We start from the raw sequence: 13,390 nt of genomic DNA, 5'->3' as shown, positions 1-13,390 counted from the left end.
CGGGGCGCCGCCGCCGCCGCCGCCCGCGCGCCCGCGCCCCGGAGCCGCCGCCGCCTCCGGCCCCGCCTGCCGCGCACAACGCCAGCGAGCCCGCGAGGGGCCGAGCCGGGCGGGCGACGGCGCCCCCTGGAGGCCGCGCGGAATCTGACCCCGAACCAGACCTGCGACCGCGGGCTCAGACCCTGGCCGTGACCTCGGCCCTCGATGCTGGACGGAGACCCGGGCCTGGAACACGACAGGGACCCGGCACGGAAGACGACCCGAGACCCATTCTCTGACCACAACCTCGGGTCACATCTCTGGATCCCAGGCTCCCCAGTCGGGCCGCAGCCCTGACACCAAACGTGATCACAGGGAACCTGGACGCTCACCAAGACACAGATTCAGACCTCTGAACACCATCCTGGGACTTTCATCTCAGACCCTGGCTATAACCCCGGACTCCCTGACCTTGGACGCAGTCCACGACCTGACACCAGACTCCAAACAGGACCCCAGACTCAAACCTTGGCCCACCACCTCAGACTCTAACCATGACCTCAGATCACAGCCCTGGGTCTCCAACGCCATACCCAGACTGCGACACTCACCTCAGACCCCCAACAGGTCCCCAGATCCAGATTTTGGACCATGACCTCGATCCCATCCTGGTTACTGACCCCAACCTTGATTCTGACCCTAGGCTACTACCATGACCCTGAACTCTAGACTTGGGGTCAGGACTCAGACCTAGATTGGACTGTCAACTCCAGATCACTGTCCTAGACTCAACACCCAGAACTGTGGACACGGACTCAGGACTAGGACGTCTAACCTGGGACCCACACTGGACCCAGAATCCTTAGTAGGTCACCCAGAACCTGGGACCTGACAACTGCAGCGCAGTTACAGGCTTCCCCCATCCCTGATCCCACCCCTCCTACTCTAGAACCAATCCTGGCCGCAGAAGGCCCACTCAGGATCAAGTACCCTGCACCCAACCCCACCCCCCAACCAGCTCATAGACCCAGGTCCCTGGCCAGCACTCTTGGCAGCTCCCTTCCCTGTACCCCATCCCATCCAGATGTTCCTTCAGGATGGTTCCACATGTAGTTACGGTAAAAACTCTCCCAGCCCGGAAGCGCACAGAGGTTTCAGTGCTGCCTGGCAGGGGAAACCCACCCTGCTGAGAGCCCACCCAGAGTGGGGAAAGCCAGGTGTCTCAAGGCAGCATTCCTATCTCAACATGCCCCTCTCTAGAGCCTCTCTTTGCTTTCAAAGTGACAGGACCCTCCTCCCAGCCCTGGGCACATAAAGCTCAAATCTCATTACCATGCTGTGGGCCAGCAGCCAGCATCCTTTTGCAAAGCAAGGCCCCCATCTCTGTGCACCTCTAGGCTACCATCTTGGATCAGCCCCAACAGAACCTGGAACCAGAGCATGTCAGAGCTTGTGAGGTTCTCCTCTCAGTGGGTGGTGAGTCACTCGCCACCCATATACCCATGTCAGAGCCTCAGTTTTCTTTTCCCCAACTGCTCCTTCATTCTCTCCCCTTCTCTAATCTAATTTGTCACCATAGTCTCCTGTCTGGCCTCCTGAGAATCTCCGTGAATCTGTCTACTTCTCAGGGTCCTCATGGCCAGCCACTGCCCTGATGCAGGCCCTGACCAGGGATGCTTTTCCCAAATCTAGATCTGATGGAGTCACTGCCTGCTTGGCACCCAGAAGCAGCTCTCCAGGCCTTCTGGGGCTACTGAGAGTGAGAGACCTAGAGGGGTCTCTAGGACTCACCACACTCTGCCCAAAGCAGATTAGGTGAACAAACTCCTTAATCTGCAAGTCAAGATCTTGGAGGACTTGGACCTTGAATGCTCCAGTTTGTTTCGCTACCATCCTCTGCACCTGGAGTTTCCCCACCAACTCACCCACCCATTCTCACTTCTGTGCCTCTGCTGTTTCCTGGGCCTGGAAGCCCTTCTGTGTACCTTCCTCCGTGGACAACTCCTACTCATCCGCTAAGACTCACCTCCTCCAGGTAGTCTTCCCTGACTCCCTGACCCCAACTATGTACATCTCCAATTCTACACTTACCACCTTCTAGGCCCTGTTTTCCATTTTCAGTTGCAAGATGCATTGTTGCAAGTTTCGACAGTGGGGAGTGAAGCCTCGTTACATGTCAGCATCAATTGGAAAATGCATCCTGATGTTGGAAATGCTGATATATATATTTAAAGAGGACATACTGTCCCCCACTGTCACTGGTGCCCCTAGTTCATCCTTTGCTCCCAGTGCCCACCACAGGACCCGACTCAAAGGCATCAGTGTTTGATGAGTGAATGAATGAGTGAATGAGCTCTTGGAACACATGGGTTTTGGGGTGGAACAAGGCCAGATGCCACAACATGAAGCCTCTAACCTCCTCTCCCCACAGCCCTGTCCTGACTCCTCTGGACTGCGAGCACAGCCACATGTCAGCCAGGGTTTTCGGGAATAGCCTCTATTTTAAAAATTCTACCTGATGAACTTGTTGGACCAGAGTCTGTGTGTGAGTTCTGAAATGCCAGCCATCCTGTTCCAAGAGGTGGCCTTACCTTCCCATCCCCACCTAAAAACTCAGTCCCTCCCACCCACAGCCCAATCCACACCCCCTGCCAGGCCTGAAGCTGGGGTCTTTTGAGGGGGGCTGGTCTCCCTTCATTGATTCCTGGGCCCAGGAAAAGTGACTTCAGGAAGCTCCAGGTTCAGAAGAGGTTGGTGTGAGCCCTAGGCCTGGGGAAGACTGGTTTTGGGGACGGTGTTGCCTCTGTTGGTCCTAGGAAGGTCGATTGCAAACTTGCCTTCACAGGCAGGCCTTCCTTCTCTCAACAAACCTTTGTTCTGTGCCTAGACTGCTCCAGGCCCTGACCAGGATGCTAGGAGTGCAAAGTGGAGTAGAGCCCCATCTCTGCTCAGCTGGCAGCCCCACAGACACATCATTACTTGGCATCGCCACTGGATGACTAATAGATGTTGCAAACTTAGCGCGGCCCACACTGAGCTCTTGCTCCCACTACCCAGCCCCTGTCCAACCTGCTCCTCTCCCGCCTCCCCATCTCAGGCGTGGATCCTCCATTTTCCCAAAATGTAGGAGCTGTCCTCGATTCCTCTCTTTCCTCACCTGGCCCCCACCCCGATGTATACCCCTGCTGTCATACAGCATCTCTGGCGTATCTGTCTCTGAAGTACATCCTTGATCCGTCCACTGTGCCCTGCTAAACCCTGGCCCGAGTCTCAATCACCTCTCGCCTGCATGCCTGCACCAGCCTCCTCTCCGCGCGCCCTGCCGTTCCTGTGGGTTGAGCTTCTATAGATCTCCATCAAAGCCCACCCCCAACGACTGCCCCTGCACTTAGGATAAAATCCACCCCACTTCCTGTGGCCCATGAGACCCGCACAGACTGGTGCCTGCCTATCTCTCTAACTCAGCAATTTCCATTCTTCCCCTTCCTCTTAGTCTCCAGCCTCTCTGGTCTTCCTTCTGTCACTAGAACAAGCCAAGTCCATTTCCACCTCTGGGGCTTTAACTTTACAGTTCCCTTGCCTGGACTGCCCTTCCCCACTTCCGGAGTGGCAGGCTCCTCCTCGTGCTGCCACCTTGTGGGCGGAAGATATCCTGCTCAGCGGTCTCTCCCTTGGCATTTCTGTCCTGGTCACTGCTGCACCCCTCATCCCCAGCACAAAGTAAGGGTAAGGGCTGCATAAAGAATCAAGACTCAGTGTTAGCCCAGTCTGGTGGGGAAGAAAACCCCTAAACACATATCTCCAATTAACCTGGCAAGAGCTATAGTTTAAGGAAGTGAGGGCACTCGGGAGAAGGTCAGGGGAGGGGTCGGGGAGGGTTGGGTAAAGTCTTGAACATGACATTGTGTGCATGAGCATGAGAGAGGTTGGAAGTGGCACGTGCCAAGGCCCGGGAGTGCGAATTTTGTCCTGCTGAGACCTCTCTTCTCCGCCTCCAGCCTGGGCTTTGCAGAGCAGGAGGGTGAGCTCGGGGCTTCCTTGACCTCAGCAGGTGTGTGCCAGATTGACCTGGGGACACTCCTCCCCAACATGGACAGCCATTCCTCTGATGTCAGGTCCCCAGACAGTGTCAGGCTCTGGCCGGGATGCTGGGAGTTGATTCATTCACCCGATTATTTGACAGTATTTGTTGAGCTCCTACTACATGCCAGGCACCTGTACTTGGCGTTGCGGATCCAACACGGGAAGACACAGGAGGGGAGCTTAGAGGCAAACCATACGTGATAACAGCCGCTGACAAGTGTTGGGTTCTCCTTATGTGCAGGGCACTGCAGAGCCCAGCTGATCTCATTGAAAGCGGGAACATCCCTGTGAGGCACGTGACAAGTTCTAAGAATCAGGAGCCTCTTCAGGTGAAGTCAGGGAAAACTCAGGGCGTTTTTGTCAGAGCCAGAGGATGGGAGGGAAGCAGTTGTTTTAGGGGCAGAGAAAAGAGCTTTTCAGGTATGCGGAACAGTAGATGCAAAGGCCCTGAGGGAAAAAGGGCCCTGGTTATCCGGGAGGCTCCAACATCACCAGGACGCCCGGGCCCTTCGCTCCTTTCTGCAGAGGGCAGGGACCTTGGGTGGGGATTGTTAGCCCGCAGGCGCCAGCCCACCAACCATGGCAGGGGTTTCGAGACCCCTAGCTTCTCTCGACCCGCCTCCCAGGAGCATCGCCTCCTCCTGGAACTCTCTGGAAAGTTCACACAGTCCCCGCACTGTCCCCGGATCCAAGGTCCTCTTCCACCTCAGAGTTTTTGCCGAGACGGGGCCCCAGCGAGCTGCCAGGCCCGGCCCCGTCCCCGAACCCCCGCCCCCGCCCTCGCCCTCATCCTCATCCTCATCCCGGAGCCCCGCCCGGCCCGCCAGGAGCCCTGCCCAGCGCGCATGCGCCTCGGCGCCGCCGAGCAGCTTGTTCCCAGAGCCGCTTTGCCCCTTGACGCTCCTAACCGGCTTGTGAGTGTCCGACTCACGGTCTCGTCGCTCCCACTGGGCCCACATTGTGACCGCTGGTACTTGCCATGTGTCGAGGGGTGGGGTAGGAAAGACTTGGGGTAGGATGCCAGTGCCACCTTCTAGGAACCCGGCTGGGTGCCCTAGGCAAGTTACTTAACTTCTTAGGGCAGAGCCTTTTTCATCTGTACAAAGGGCGTCCCACGCGTGGCCTCACTGGATTGTTTTGAGGATTAACTCAGATAAGATGTGTGAAGCGGGCCGGTCGCGGTGGCTCAAGCCTGTAATTCCAGCACTTTGGGAGGCCGAGGCGGGCGGATCACCTGAGGTCAAGAGTTCAAGACTAGCCTGGCCAACATGGCGAAACCCCGTCTCTCCTAAAAATACAAAAATTAGCCTGGCGTGGTGGTGGTCGCGTAGTCCCAGTTACTCGGGAGGCTGAGGCAGGAGAATTACTTGAACCCGGGAGGCGGAGGTTGCAGTGAGCCGAGATCGCGCCACTGTACCCCAGCCTGGGCGACAGAGTGAGACACCATCTCAAAAAAAAAAAAAGGTGTGTGAAGCGTTGGGCTGGGGAGACGACCCGCCGAGTGGCCACTGTCACACTAGAGTATCCTGGGCCTCATTTATGTCTCCCCCCCGTCTTCCTCCATGGTCTCTTTTCTATCCATCCCTTTCTACCTCTTTGCCTTTCCTCTTCTGGGTCTTTCAAGGTATGTTTCTCTCCCTGTCCCTCTGCCTGCTATCCTATGGCACGCTCTGGGGAGGTAGAACTCCCTGCCCATTGGATTGGGGTGGATGTGGAGTGGGAGGCAGAGGCTGGATGACAGCATTGACGGGGGAAAGTCAGGTGTCCCTGACCTCTGGGGCCTGCCGTCAGTTTCCTGCACCTACATGGGTGTCAACGCTGAGATTTCCTTCTGGACCTGGGCTCTGAGAATTGTGGCCTGGAAAGATGGTGAACAGACTGGTCTTTTTTTGAGACAGAGTCTCAACTGTGTCGCCCAGGCTGGAGTGCAGTGGCACGATCATGGCTCACTACAGGCTGAGGTGAGTCTCCTGCCTCAACCTCCTGAGTAGGTGGGATTACAGGCACATGCCACCTTGTCTGGCTAATTTTTTTTTTTTTTTTTTTGAGACAGAGTGTCGCTCTGTCACCCAGGCTGGAGTGCAGTGGTGCGATCTTGGCTCACTGCAACCTCTGCCTCCCGGATTGAAGCAATTCTCCTGCCTCAGCCTCCCGAGTAGCTGGGATTACAGGTGCACGCCACCACGCCCGGCTTATTTTTGTATTATTAGCAGAGATGGGCTTTCACCATGTTGGTCAGGCTGGTCTGGAGCTCCTGACCTCAGACGATCCACCTGCCTTGGCCTCCCAAAGTGCTGGGATTACAGGTGTGAGCCACCGTGCCTGGCTGTGTGTTTTTGTAGAGACCGGGTTTTGACATGTTGACCAGGCTGGTCTTGAACTCCTGGCTTCAAGTGCCCCTCCCACCTTGGCCTCCCAAAGTGCTAGGATTATGGGCGTCAGTCACTGTGCCTGGCCTGATCCAGTCTGGAGTAAAGGAGGAGATGGTTTCCCAGAGAAAGTAATAGATAAACCGAGTTAGGTGTACCAGGTGGAGTGAACAGGACATACAAAGACCCAGAGATGGTGTTAATTGAAAAGTTGGCTGTGAGTGGAGAGGAAGAGGAGGGACAAATGGTGGGCAATGAAGCCGGAGGGCCTGGCAGCCTCATGGGCCACATTACATGCCACATTCAGACTTTATCCTGAGATGAACACAATGAAGGGTTTTAAGCAGGGGAGGGAAGTAGTCAAATCAGTCTTTTTTTTTTGAGATGGGGTCTCGCTCTTGTCACCCAGGCTGGAGTGCAATGGTGCGATCTCAGCTCACTGCAACCTCCACCTCCCGGGTTCAAGCGATTTTCCTGCCTCAGCTTCCCAAGTAGCTGGGATTACAGGCATGCGCCACCACACCCGGCTAATTTTTGTATTTTTAGTAGAGACAGGGTTTCACCATGTTGGCCAGGCTGGTCTTGAACTCCTGACCTCTGGTGATCTGCCTGCCTTGGCCTCCCAAAGTGCTGGGATTACAGGCGTGAGCCACTGTACCCAGCCAAATCAATCTTTTCAGATAAATGTCTGGCTACCAACATGGAGGACAGGGGGTTGGACCGGGACCCTTGGGGCTTTTCCTGTGGTTGAGGTTCTAGACAGTGGTGGCTTCCACTAGGGTGGCAGAGATGAGATTAGTAAGGGCAGATGGGTTTCTGAGATATTTAGGGGCAAAACTGACACTTTTCCTTCCCTGGAAACATCCAAACATGGCCACATCCATATCCGTCCTTGGGGGAACCAACATTAAATCAGCCCATTGTGCAACGCCCTTGTCCACTTCTAGACTGTGCTCCAGAATCGGAGATGGTCCTTTACTATCAGTTTGGGGAATAGGATGGGCGGAGATCCCCAGATTCCTTTGGAGGTAGTGATGGAAGCCTGCTCAGGCTCTCCCAGATGGGACTGCAGCCCTCCTGAGACTCAGCAGTCAGGTAAGGAGGCAGTTCTCTGGCAGCATCTGGCGCACATATTTAAAGACTGGAAACTTGGACTCAACATGCTGGGCGATGAGCAGCAGTAGGATGAGGTGGGAGACACGCTGGTCACAGCCTGCCTGGGCCAGACCCTGCTCAGCTACTTTCTGCAGCTTTAGCAGATGGAATTGGCACTGGCTGATGGCTTGGCAGTTGTGGGGATGAAAGATTAGAGATGCCCCAGCCCATTCTAAGGAGTGTACCACTGGGTGCCTCTGCAGGGCTGCTCTTTTTGGGTGAGAGAATGTCAGGTAATCTCACACTTAAAATGTTCACATCCATTACAAAGTTCACCTTGGGGCTGCGCGCGGTGGCTCATGCTTATAATCCCAGCACTCTGGGAGGTGGAGGCGGGCAGATTACCTGAGGTCAGGAGTTCAAGACCAGCCTGGCCAACATGGTGAAACCCCGTCTCTACAAAAATACACACACACACACACACACACAAATTAGCTGGACATGATGGTAAGTGCCTGTAATCCTAGCTACTCCGGAGGCTGAGGCAGAAGAATCGCTTGAACCCAGGAAGCGGAGGCTGCAGTGAGCTGAGATTGTGCCCTTGCACTCCAGCCTGGGCGACAGAGCGAGACTCCATCTCAAAAAATAAAAATAAAAAAAAAGTTCACCTTGATGAAGTAAACGTTGTATTTCTAGAAGCAAGTGCTGCTTTTTTGGTGTTTAAAAAATAAGCTAAGGAAAACCAAGCAGTAAACATGCCCCCTAGTTCTGCTGCTGCTGCTGAGAGGTGAAGCAAGGGCTCCGTGGCCTTAGCCTTCTGACTTGCTCACACGCACACACCGAAGCAGAAAAGGTTTAGTTTTTGTTTTTAAAGCCTTTTTATTTTTTTAAAAAAACAAAAACCCCCAAACAAAAACAAAACCTAAATTAAAATATTTCCCATTGGAGGCTATTTCTTTTTTTGTCTTTTAAAAATTTTATTACACAAATATCACCCATTCCCACGTGTCAGAGGAAAGATGTCCTTGCTCTCTCTAAAACCAATAGTGGAGAACTTTTGGAAAACAAAACAAAGTCCAACTAGCTTCCTCCTTCTCTGGCCCAAAATAACCTCAATGTGTCAACTGAGATAGCATAAGACTTATCCCCTTAATGCTTACATTTAATTTAAACTTTTTAGCACAACATTGGAGATTGACTCTAAATCAGCAACAAAAAAATATATATTTACAATATTTCTCCGAAAAACAAAAAACACAACCAAACCCTTTAAACATAAGTGACTTTAGGAGTTTTATTTATGGAGCAGTTATTTTTTTAATCACCAAGTGATTTTATATTATATATATATAAATTTTCTTCCTTTCCTTTGTGGTTTTTCGCCCCGGTGCTTGGAAAGATGGAGGCAGGGGTTCTGGTCCTGCAGTCTGAGGGCAGGCTCTCCTGGCAAGGCCGTGTCTAAGAGCAGATTGTAGGACATGCGATGGACTCCCCAGGTTCCTCTGTCCCCCAACAGAGACACTTCTTTCCTCCACATGGACCAACCCTCACCTCTAAAAACCATTTCCCCTCACAGTCCCAAAGAAAAGGAAAACCCAGCAAGGGCATGGTCCATCTGCTGCCTTTTCTGGGCTCCCTTTTCTGCTGACCAATTTACGTGCACGGTAAAAATGCATGTTTTTCCAAACCCCAAAAAACAAACATAAAAACCAAAACCCAAAAGAAACCATTGGCTTGGAAATTTCTGTGGATGAAATGTCCCAAAGTCAGAGGCACTCTCCCGGCACAATCCCTGCTCTGAAGGGGTCTCTCCACCTCCCCTTTTATAAAAAGACAACAAAATAAAACAAAGTAATCTTTTCAGTATTTTCCACAGGAGCAACCAAAGAAAAAGGCAGGAAGCTTCCAATTATAGGTCATTAACGATAATAAGGTTTTTGCTCAATACCCAGGGTTCTTTACAGAGAAGTTCCCCTAACTGAGGCACTCTGGAATAAGTCACTGGCATTTCCTCAAAGTTTCAACCCCAGATTATTGGGGCCTGGAGACCAATGGAAGTGGGCAGAGGGTCATGGGAGCAGACTGCTGTTTGTAAGGTGCAGTCAAAAGATTCAGCAGATTGGAAGAAACAAACAAAATGCCACCCCCTACCAGGATCCAGTTTCTTCTAAGGCCAGTTAATGCCAGGGTCAAAACTGGCCTAGGTGGCAAAGAGGGGACCACTCTGCCTCTATTGCTTTGGAAGTGGCAAGGGTGCAGTTGGCGTCTCTCTTCTCAGTGGCTCACACTTTAGACCCCTGGTGCCTGGGCTCCATTCCCTAACTCTGTAGGGCTTCAGGAAGAGGAAAGCCTGAGACTGGGCTACAGGAAGAGGGCCAGAAAGGGACAGGGATGGACGACCAAAAGGCGGGGCGGGGTGGGGGGAAGAGGTTGTGCTATCAGTATCCTTACAGAGGGGGAGCAGAGTGCAAATTTGCATCAATCATTTATAAGCTCTTGCCATAGGCTGCTGCTACTGAGCATCTCCTCACACACTTAAAAATATTGACCCAAAAGAAATTCCGACCTTTCTTTCTTTCTTTTTTTTTTTAAAGTGCAAAAAGCTCTCTGCTGCCCTAGAGAGAGGATCTTTGGACAGGCCGTTCAATGCAAAGTAAAAGGGGGCAGCTGATGGGGCTCAACAAAGGGCGGTGGAGCGGGAGACACCATGCTCCCCTCCCTCCCTCCCTCCACACACACGCGCAGAATACACTCAGCCACACACACAGAGGCACGTGCACACCCCCTTCCATGGCTGCAGGCAGAGGGCTGGTGACTGGCTTCTAAGCAGGACCCCCTGACTGCCCTGAAAGTTCAGTGAGCCACTGGGGCTAGACACAGGCCTGGGCTCAGGGGGCTCCGCTAAACCAGAGGCCTGGAGGAGCCTGGCTGGGAGGCAGGTTGGGGCTTGGCCCAGTCCTCTGCCGCCTCCAGCTTGGGGGAGATAGGCTGCTCCCTCTGAGGACGTGCATCCTGGGAAAGCCTTCTTCAGGCAGAATGAAGACACATGGAAAAGGGCAGTCAGTGGGAGGCAAAAGAGAGAGGGGGAACAAGGAGATGGTGCCTGTCTCAGAATCCACTTGGGTAGCAACGAAATGGGTGTGTCCCTGGGGTAGACAGTTCCAGCTCCTCTGAAGAGCTTCAACCCCAATAAGTGCAATAAGGACCTCATAGAGACTAGCAAGTAAGTCGGGTAGGCTGGGGTGGGAAACCTAATTATGTGAACAAGCACGAGTGCTGGGCAGAACCAAGCTCAAGGGAGAGGAAAGGAGGGAGAGCACAGTTAAGGACGTGAGGTTTGGGAGATCTCAACAGCACCAGTGTGATCGGCACGGGTCTGGGACTCCTGGGGCTGCTGGCCCCTCCTGCGCAAGCCGGGAGAGTGTGATGGAGGAGAGACGCGCACTGGACACCACAAGAACCTGGCCATGGAGACAGGGCCGTTTTCTTCCCTGGGAGTTTGCTCAGAACCAGGCACTGCTGGGGACCATGGATGGGGAGGAGGGGCACAGGGCCCAGTGCAGATGAAGGTTGCACAAACACCCCAAACTGAGAGCCCGGCCTCCTGGCAGGCGAGTAAGCGAGCAGGCGCCTCGACAGCACAGCCTGTGCTTTCCCCTCAGATCAATCTGCTACTCCCTTTTCCTTAGGAGGGAGAGGAGCAGGCAGATAAGCCTGGTGTCCACCACCCTCTCTGCCCCACCTGTAGAGGAAGGGCTCAAGGGACAGGAGAGCAGAGAGGGAGTGTGACGCTGGCCTCAGAGCCCGTGCAGGGTCGAGGAGAGGCTCTCCTCGGTGGGGAGTCAGGGGAAGATCGGTTTCCTGTTGAATCTGGGCTGGGTGTGTCTTAGCTGATCTTCTGTATCAGCTTCTCGTCAGACAGGCAGTAGAGGCTGTTGATGGACAAGTCTGAGATGAAGTGCTCGCAGGCTTTTCGAGTGATCTGCTTGCATCCTCGAAGGTCGATCAAGGTGACGTTGGCAATGCGCCGTAGGTAGATCAGGGTCTGGTCTGTCAATTTATTGCAACCTGTCGGGAAAGTGGACATAATGACAGTGCTCACATACACACAGCTTTCCTCTGCCATTCAATTCCTGTAGCCGTCTTTCCTTCAAAATGCTAAACAAAAGCCCTCTTTGTCCCACAACTACCTGGCTCAGAGACCAGAAGTGCCATCAGCACCTCCAAAGGGACCCTGCTGCCTCACTCCCATCACCATATGACAACAAGCACAAGGGCTGCAAGGCTGACCAAACTCCAGCTGGATGTTGGCTGCGCAGACAGGCAACCGACTTAACTACTCAAGGCCTCAGTCCCCCATCAGTTAAAAAAGGGATAGAAATCCATGTCCTTGTCCAGATGTGAAGAAATGAGCTGATGTGGGTCAATCAACAGACCCAAGGTCATTCTGGTTTACTGATCAAGTTCCAGGGAGGGCTGGAGGCAGGGGGCACCGCTGATTATGAACAACTGTAGCGGCATACCTGCCATATTGAGCTCTGTGAGAGAGTAGCGAGTGGAAGACCCGACAGCAGTGAGTAGATTGGAGGACTGATCTGTAAGGTGGCTGCAGTGACTGAGGTCGAGTCGAGACAGGAGGGGCATGTGGCGAATTATGAGGCGAAGCGTGGCATCTGTGATGTCAAGGCCTGCCAGCCGGAAGTCGGTCATGTTCCGGAGCTTGCTGCGATTGTCCTGACCTGTACAGGCAAGAGAAGAGCCTAGATCAAAACTCTCAATTCTCTAATCCAGCTTCAAGGCTCCAGGCAGCAACAGCTACTTGCTGGCCAGGCCCCCTTGAAGGGGTTAAGTAGAACTGCCCACACCCAGCCATGCCTTCAGGGTGTGAGCACTGGGTGTAGGCAGTTTCTAGGAAACCAGACAAGTTTTCTTTCTTCTCAAGCTGCTAGATTATGCCTCATGCACACAGCAAAAGGCTATGTGCAGAATGCTCCTCCCCTTCCAATACCACCACACTTTTCTAGACCATCATGCAAATAGCTTTTGACTCCACCTCCACCATAAAGCCTTCTCAGACTTTTTCAGGCTTACACTCTCTGGGCCCCAAACTCCACCAACTCACAAAATGGACTTACTCCATTGTTTGTAGGTAGTTATCTGCTTATAGTTACCCTATTCTTGTACACAGTCCATCATTCTGTTTTCATTTTGTGCTCTTCTATTCTTCCACAGCGTCATATCTGAGACTACCTTAGCTTCTGAAGACGAGGTCTGTTTGGAAGACAAAGCTACCCCAAGACAAGCACAGAGAAGTCAGGTCCAGAGCATACCTGGTTTATCAGCCGGTGGAGTAAGCAAGTCCCGAATTTGAGGGTCCTTGATTCCTACTGCCCACCGAAGATCAAGGGTCCTGAGAAGGGGGCAGCTGGAGGTGCTGAGGGCAGAGACTGCAGACCAGGAGCAGCCTGCTAGGAGGAGGTCTTTCAGTCCTGCAATGGATGGAATGAGACATGTAATAATACACTGTTTCCCAGCATACTCAGAGCCGTAACGATCTGAGCAAAGTGAACAAACTTCCAGTCTAATAGGAGAGAAGGACTATGCCTAATCTTTTAGTCATCCAGCTCAAAGATTTCCATGGTATCCTATACTACATCTTCTAGCTTTAGTGGTAAATTGATTGCTTAGTTCCCACCAGAGCAATACAAGAAGGAGTGACTTCCTGTCTTTCTAAGAGCTCAAAATGCTGAAGAGAACAAGGGCTTATAAGGAGCTGACCAAAGTAACATCTGACTCAAATTTCCTCTTTAGTGGTTATGCTGAGGAGAACTGCAGGGCTGGCAGCAACACTGATTCCGTTCTCT

At 53.0% G+C, this 13,390-nt stretch overlaps 1 protein-coding gene across 8 annotated transcripts in view, besides 5 other annotated features; it reads right to left on the bottom strand.

Annotated features, from left to right (window-relative positions):
• Positions 7-206: a silencer, noted in NCBI's record as "silent region_3619". NCBI's record gives its function as "represses an Ori minimal core promoter by ATAC-STARR-seq in GM12878 lymphoblastoid cells {active_cell/tissue: GM12878}" and the evidence as "EXISTENCE:reporter gene assay evidence [ECO:0000049][PMID:35858748]".
• KDM2A (lysine demethylase 2A) overlaps positions 8,386-13,390 on the bottom strand; it is a 138,820-nt gene continuing 133,815 nt past the window's right edge. For all 8 annotated transcript variants that reach the window (NR_027473.2, NM_012308.3, XM_017017391.2 and 5 more), the window contains 3 exons: positions 12,857-13,015; positions 12,050-12,265; positions 8,386-11,594 (listed from right to left, as the gene is read on the bottom strand). Coding sequence is in view for 7 of the 8 variants with exons in the window: in NM_012308.3 (NP_036440.1) it covers positions 11,413-11,594; positions 12,050-12,265; positions 12,857-13,015 (557 nt within the window). In the remaining variant the exon portion in view is untranslated. The remainder of the gene's footprint in view (positions 11,595-12,049; positions 12,266-12,856; positions 13,016-13,390) is intronic.
• Positions 11,312-11,812: an enhancer, noted in NCBI's record as "H3K4me1 hESC enhancer chr11:67022127-67022627 (GRCh37/hg19 assembly coordinates)". NCBI's record gives its function as "activates a minimal SCP1, AML or CMV promoter by ChIP-STARR-seq in primed H9 embryonic stem cells {active_cell/tissue: H9 hESC(primed)}" and the evidence as "EXISTENCE:reporter gene assay evidence [ECO:0000049][PMID:30033119]".
• Positions 11,312-12,969: a biological region, named in NCBI's record as "CDK7 strongly-dependent group 2 enhancer GRCh37_chr11:67020970-67022169".
• Positions 11,770-12,969: an enhancer, noted in NCBI's record as "CDK7 strongly-dependent group 2 enhancer chr11:67020970-67022169 (GRCh37/hg19 assembly coordinates)". NCBI's record gives its function as "activates an origin of replication core promoter dependent on BRD2, BRD4, P300/CBP, MED14 and CDK7 cofactors, with strong dependence on CDK7, by STARR-seq in HCT116 cells {active_cell/tissue: HCT116}" and the evidence as "EXISTENCE:reporter gene assay evidence [ECO:0000049][PMID:35650434]".
• Positions 11,813-12,313: an enhancer, noted in NCBI's record as "H3K4me1 hESC enhancer chr11:67021626-67022126 (GRCh37/hg19 assembly coordinates)". NCBI's record gives its function as "activates a minimal SCP1, AML or CMV promoter by ChIP-STARR-seq in primed H9 embryonic stem cells {active_cell/tissue: H9 hESC(primed)}" and the evidence as "EXISTENCE:reporter gene assay evidence [ECO:0000049][PMID:30033119]".

Source organism: Homo sapiens, chromosome 11 (assembly GCF_000001405.40).
Source record: "Homo sapiens chromosome 11, GRCh38.p14 Primary Assembly".
Classification (NCBI taxonomy): Eukaryota; Metazoa; Chordata; class Mammalia; order Primates; family Hominidae; genus Homo; species Homo sapiens.
Note: the sequence above shows the minus strand (reverse complement) of the source record. Positions and strands in the feature narration are given on the sequence as shown.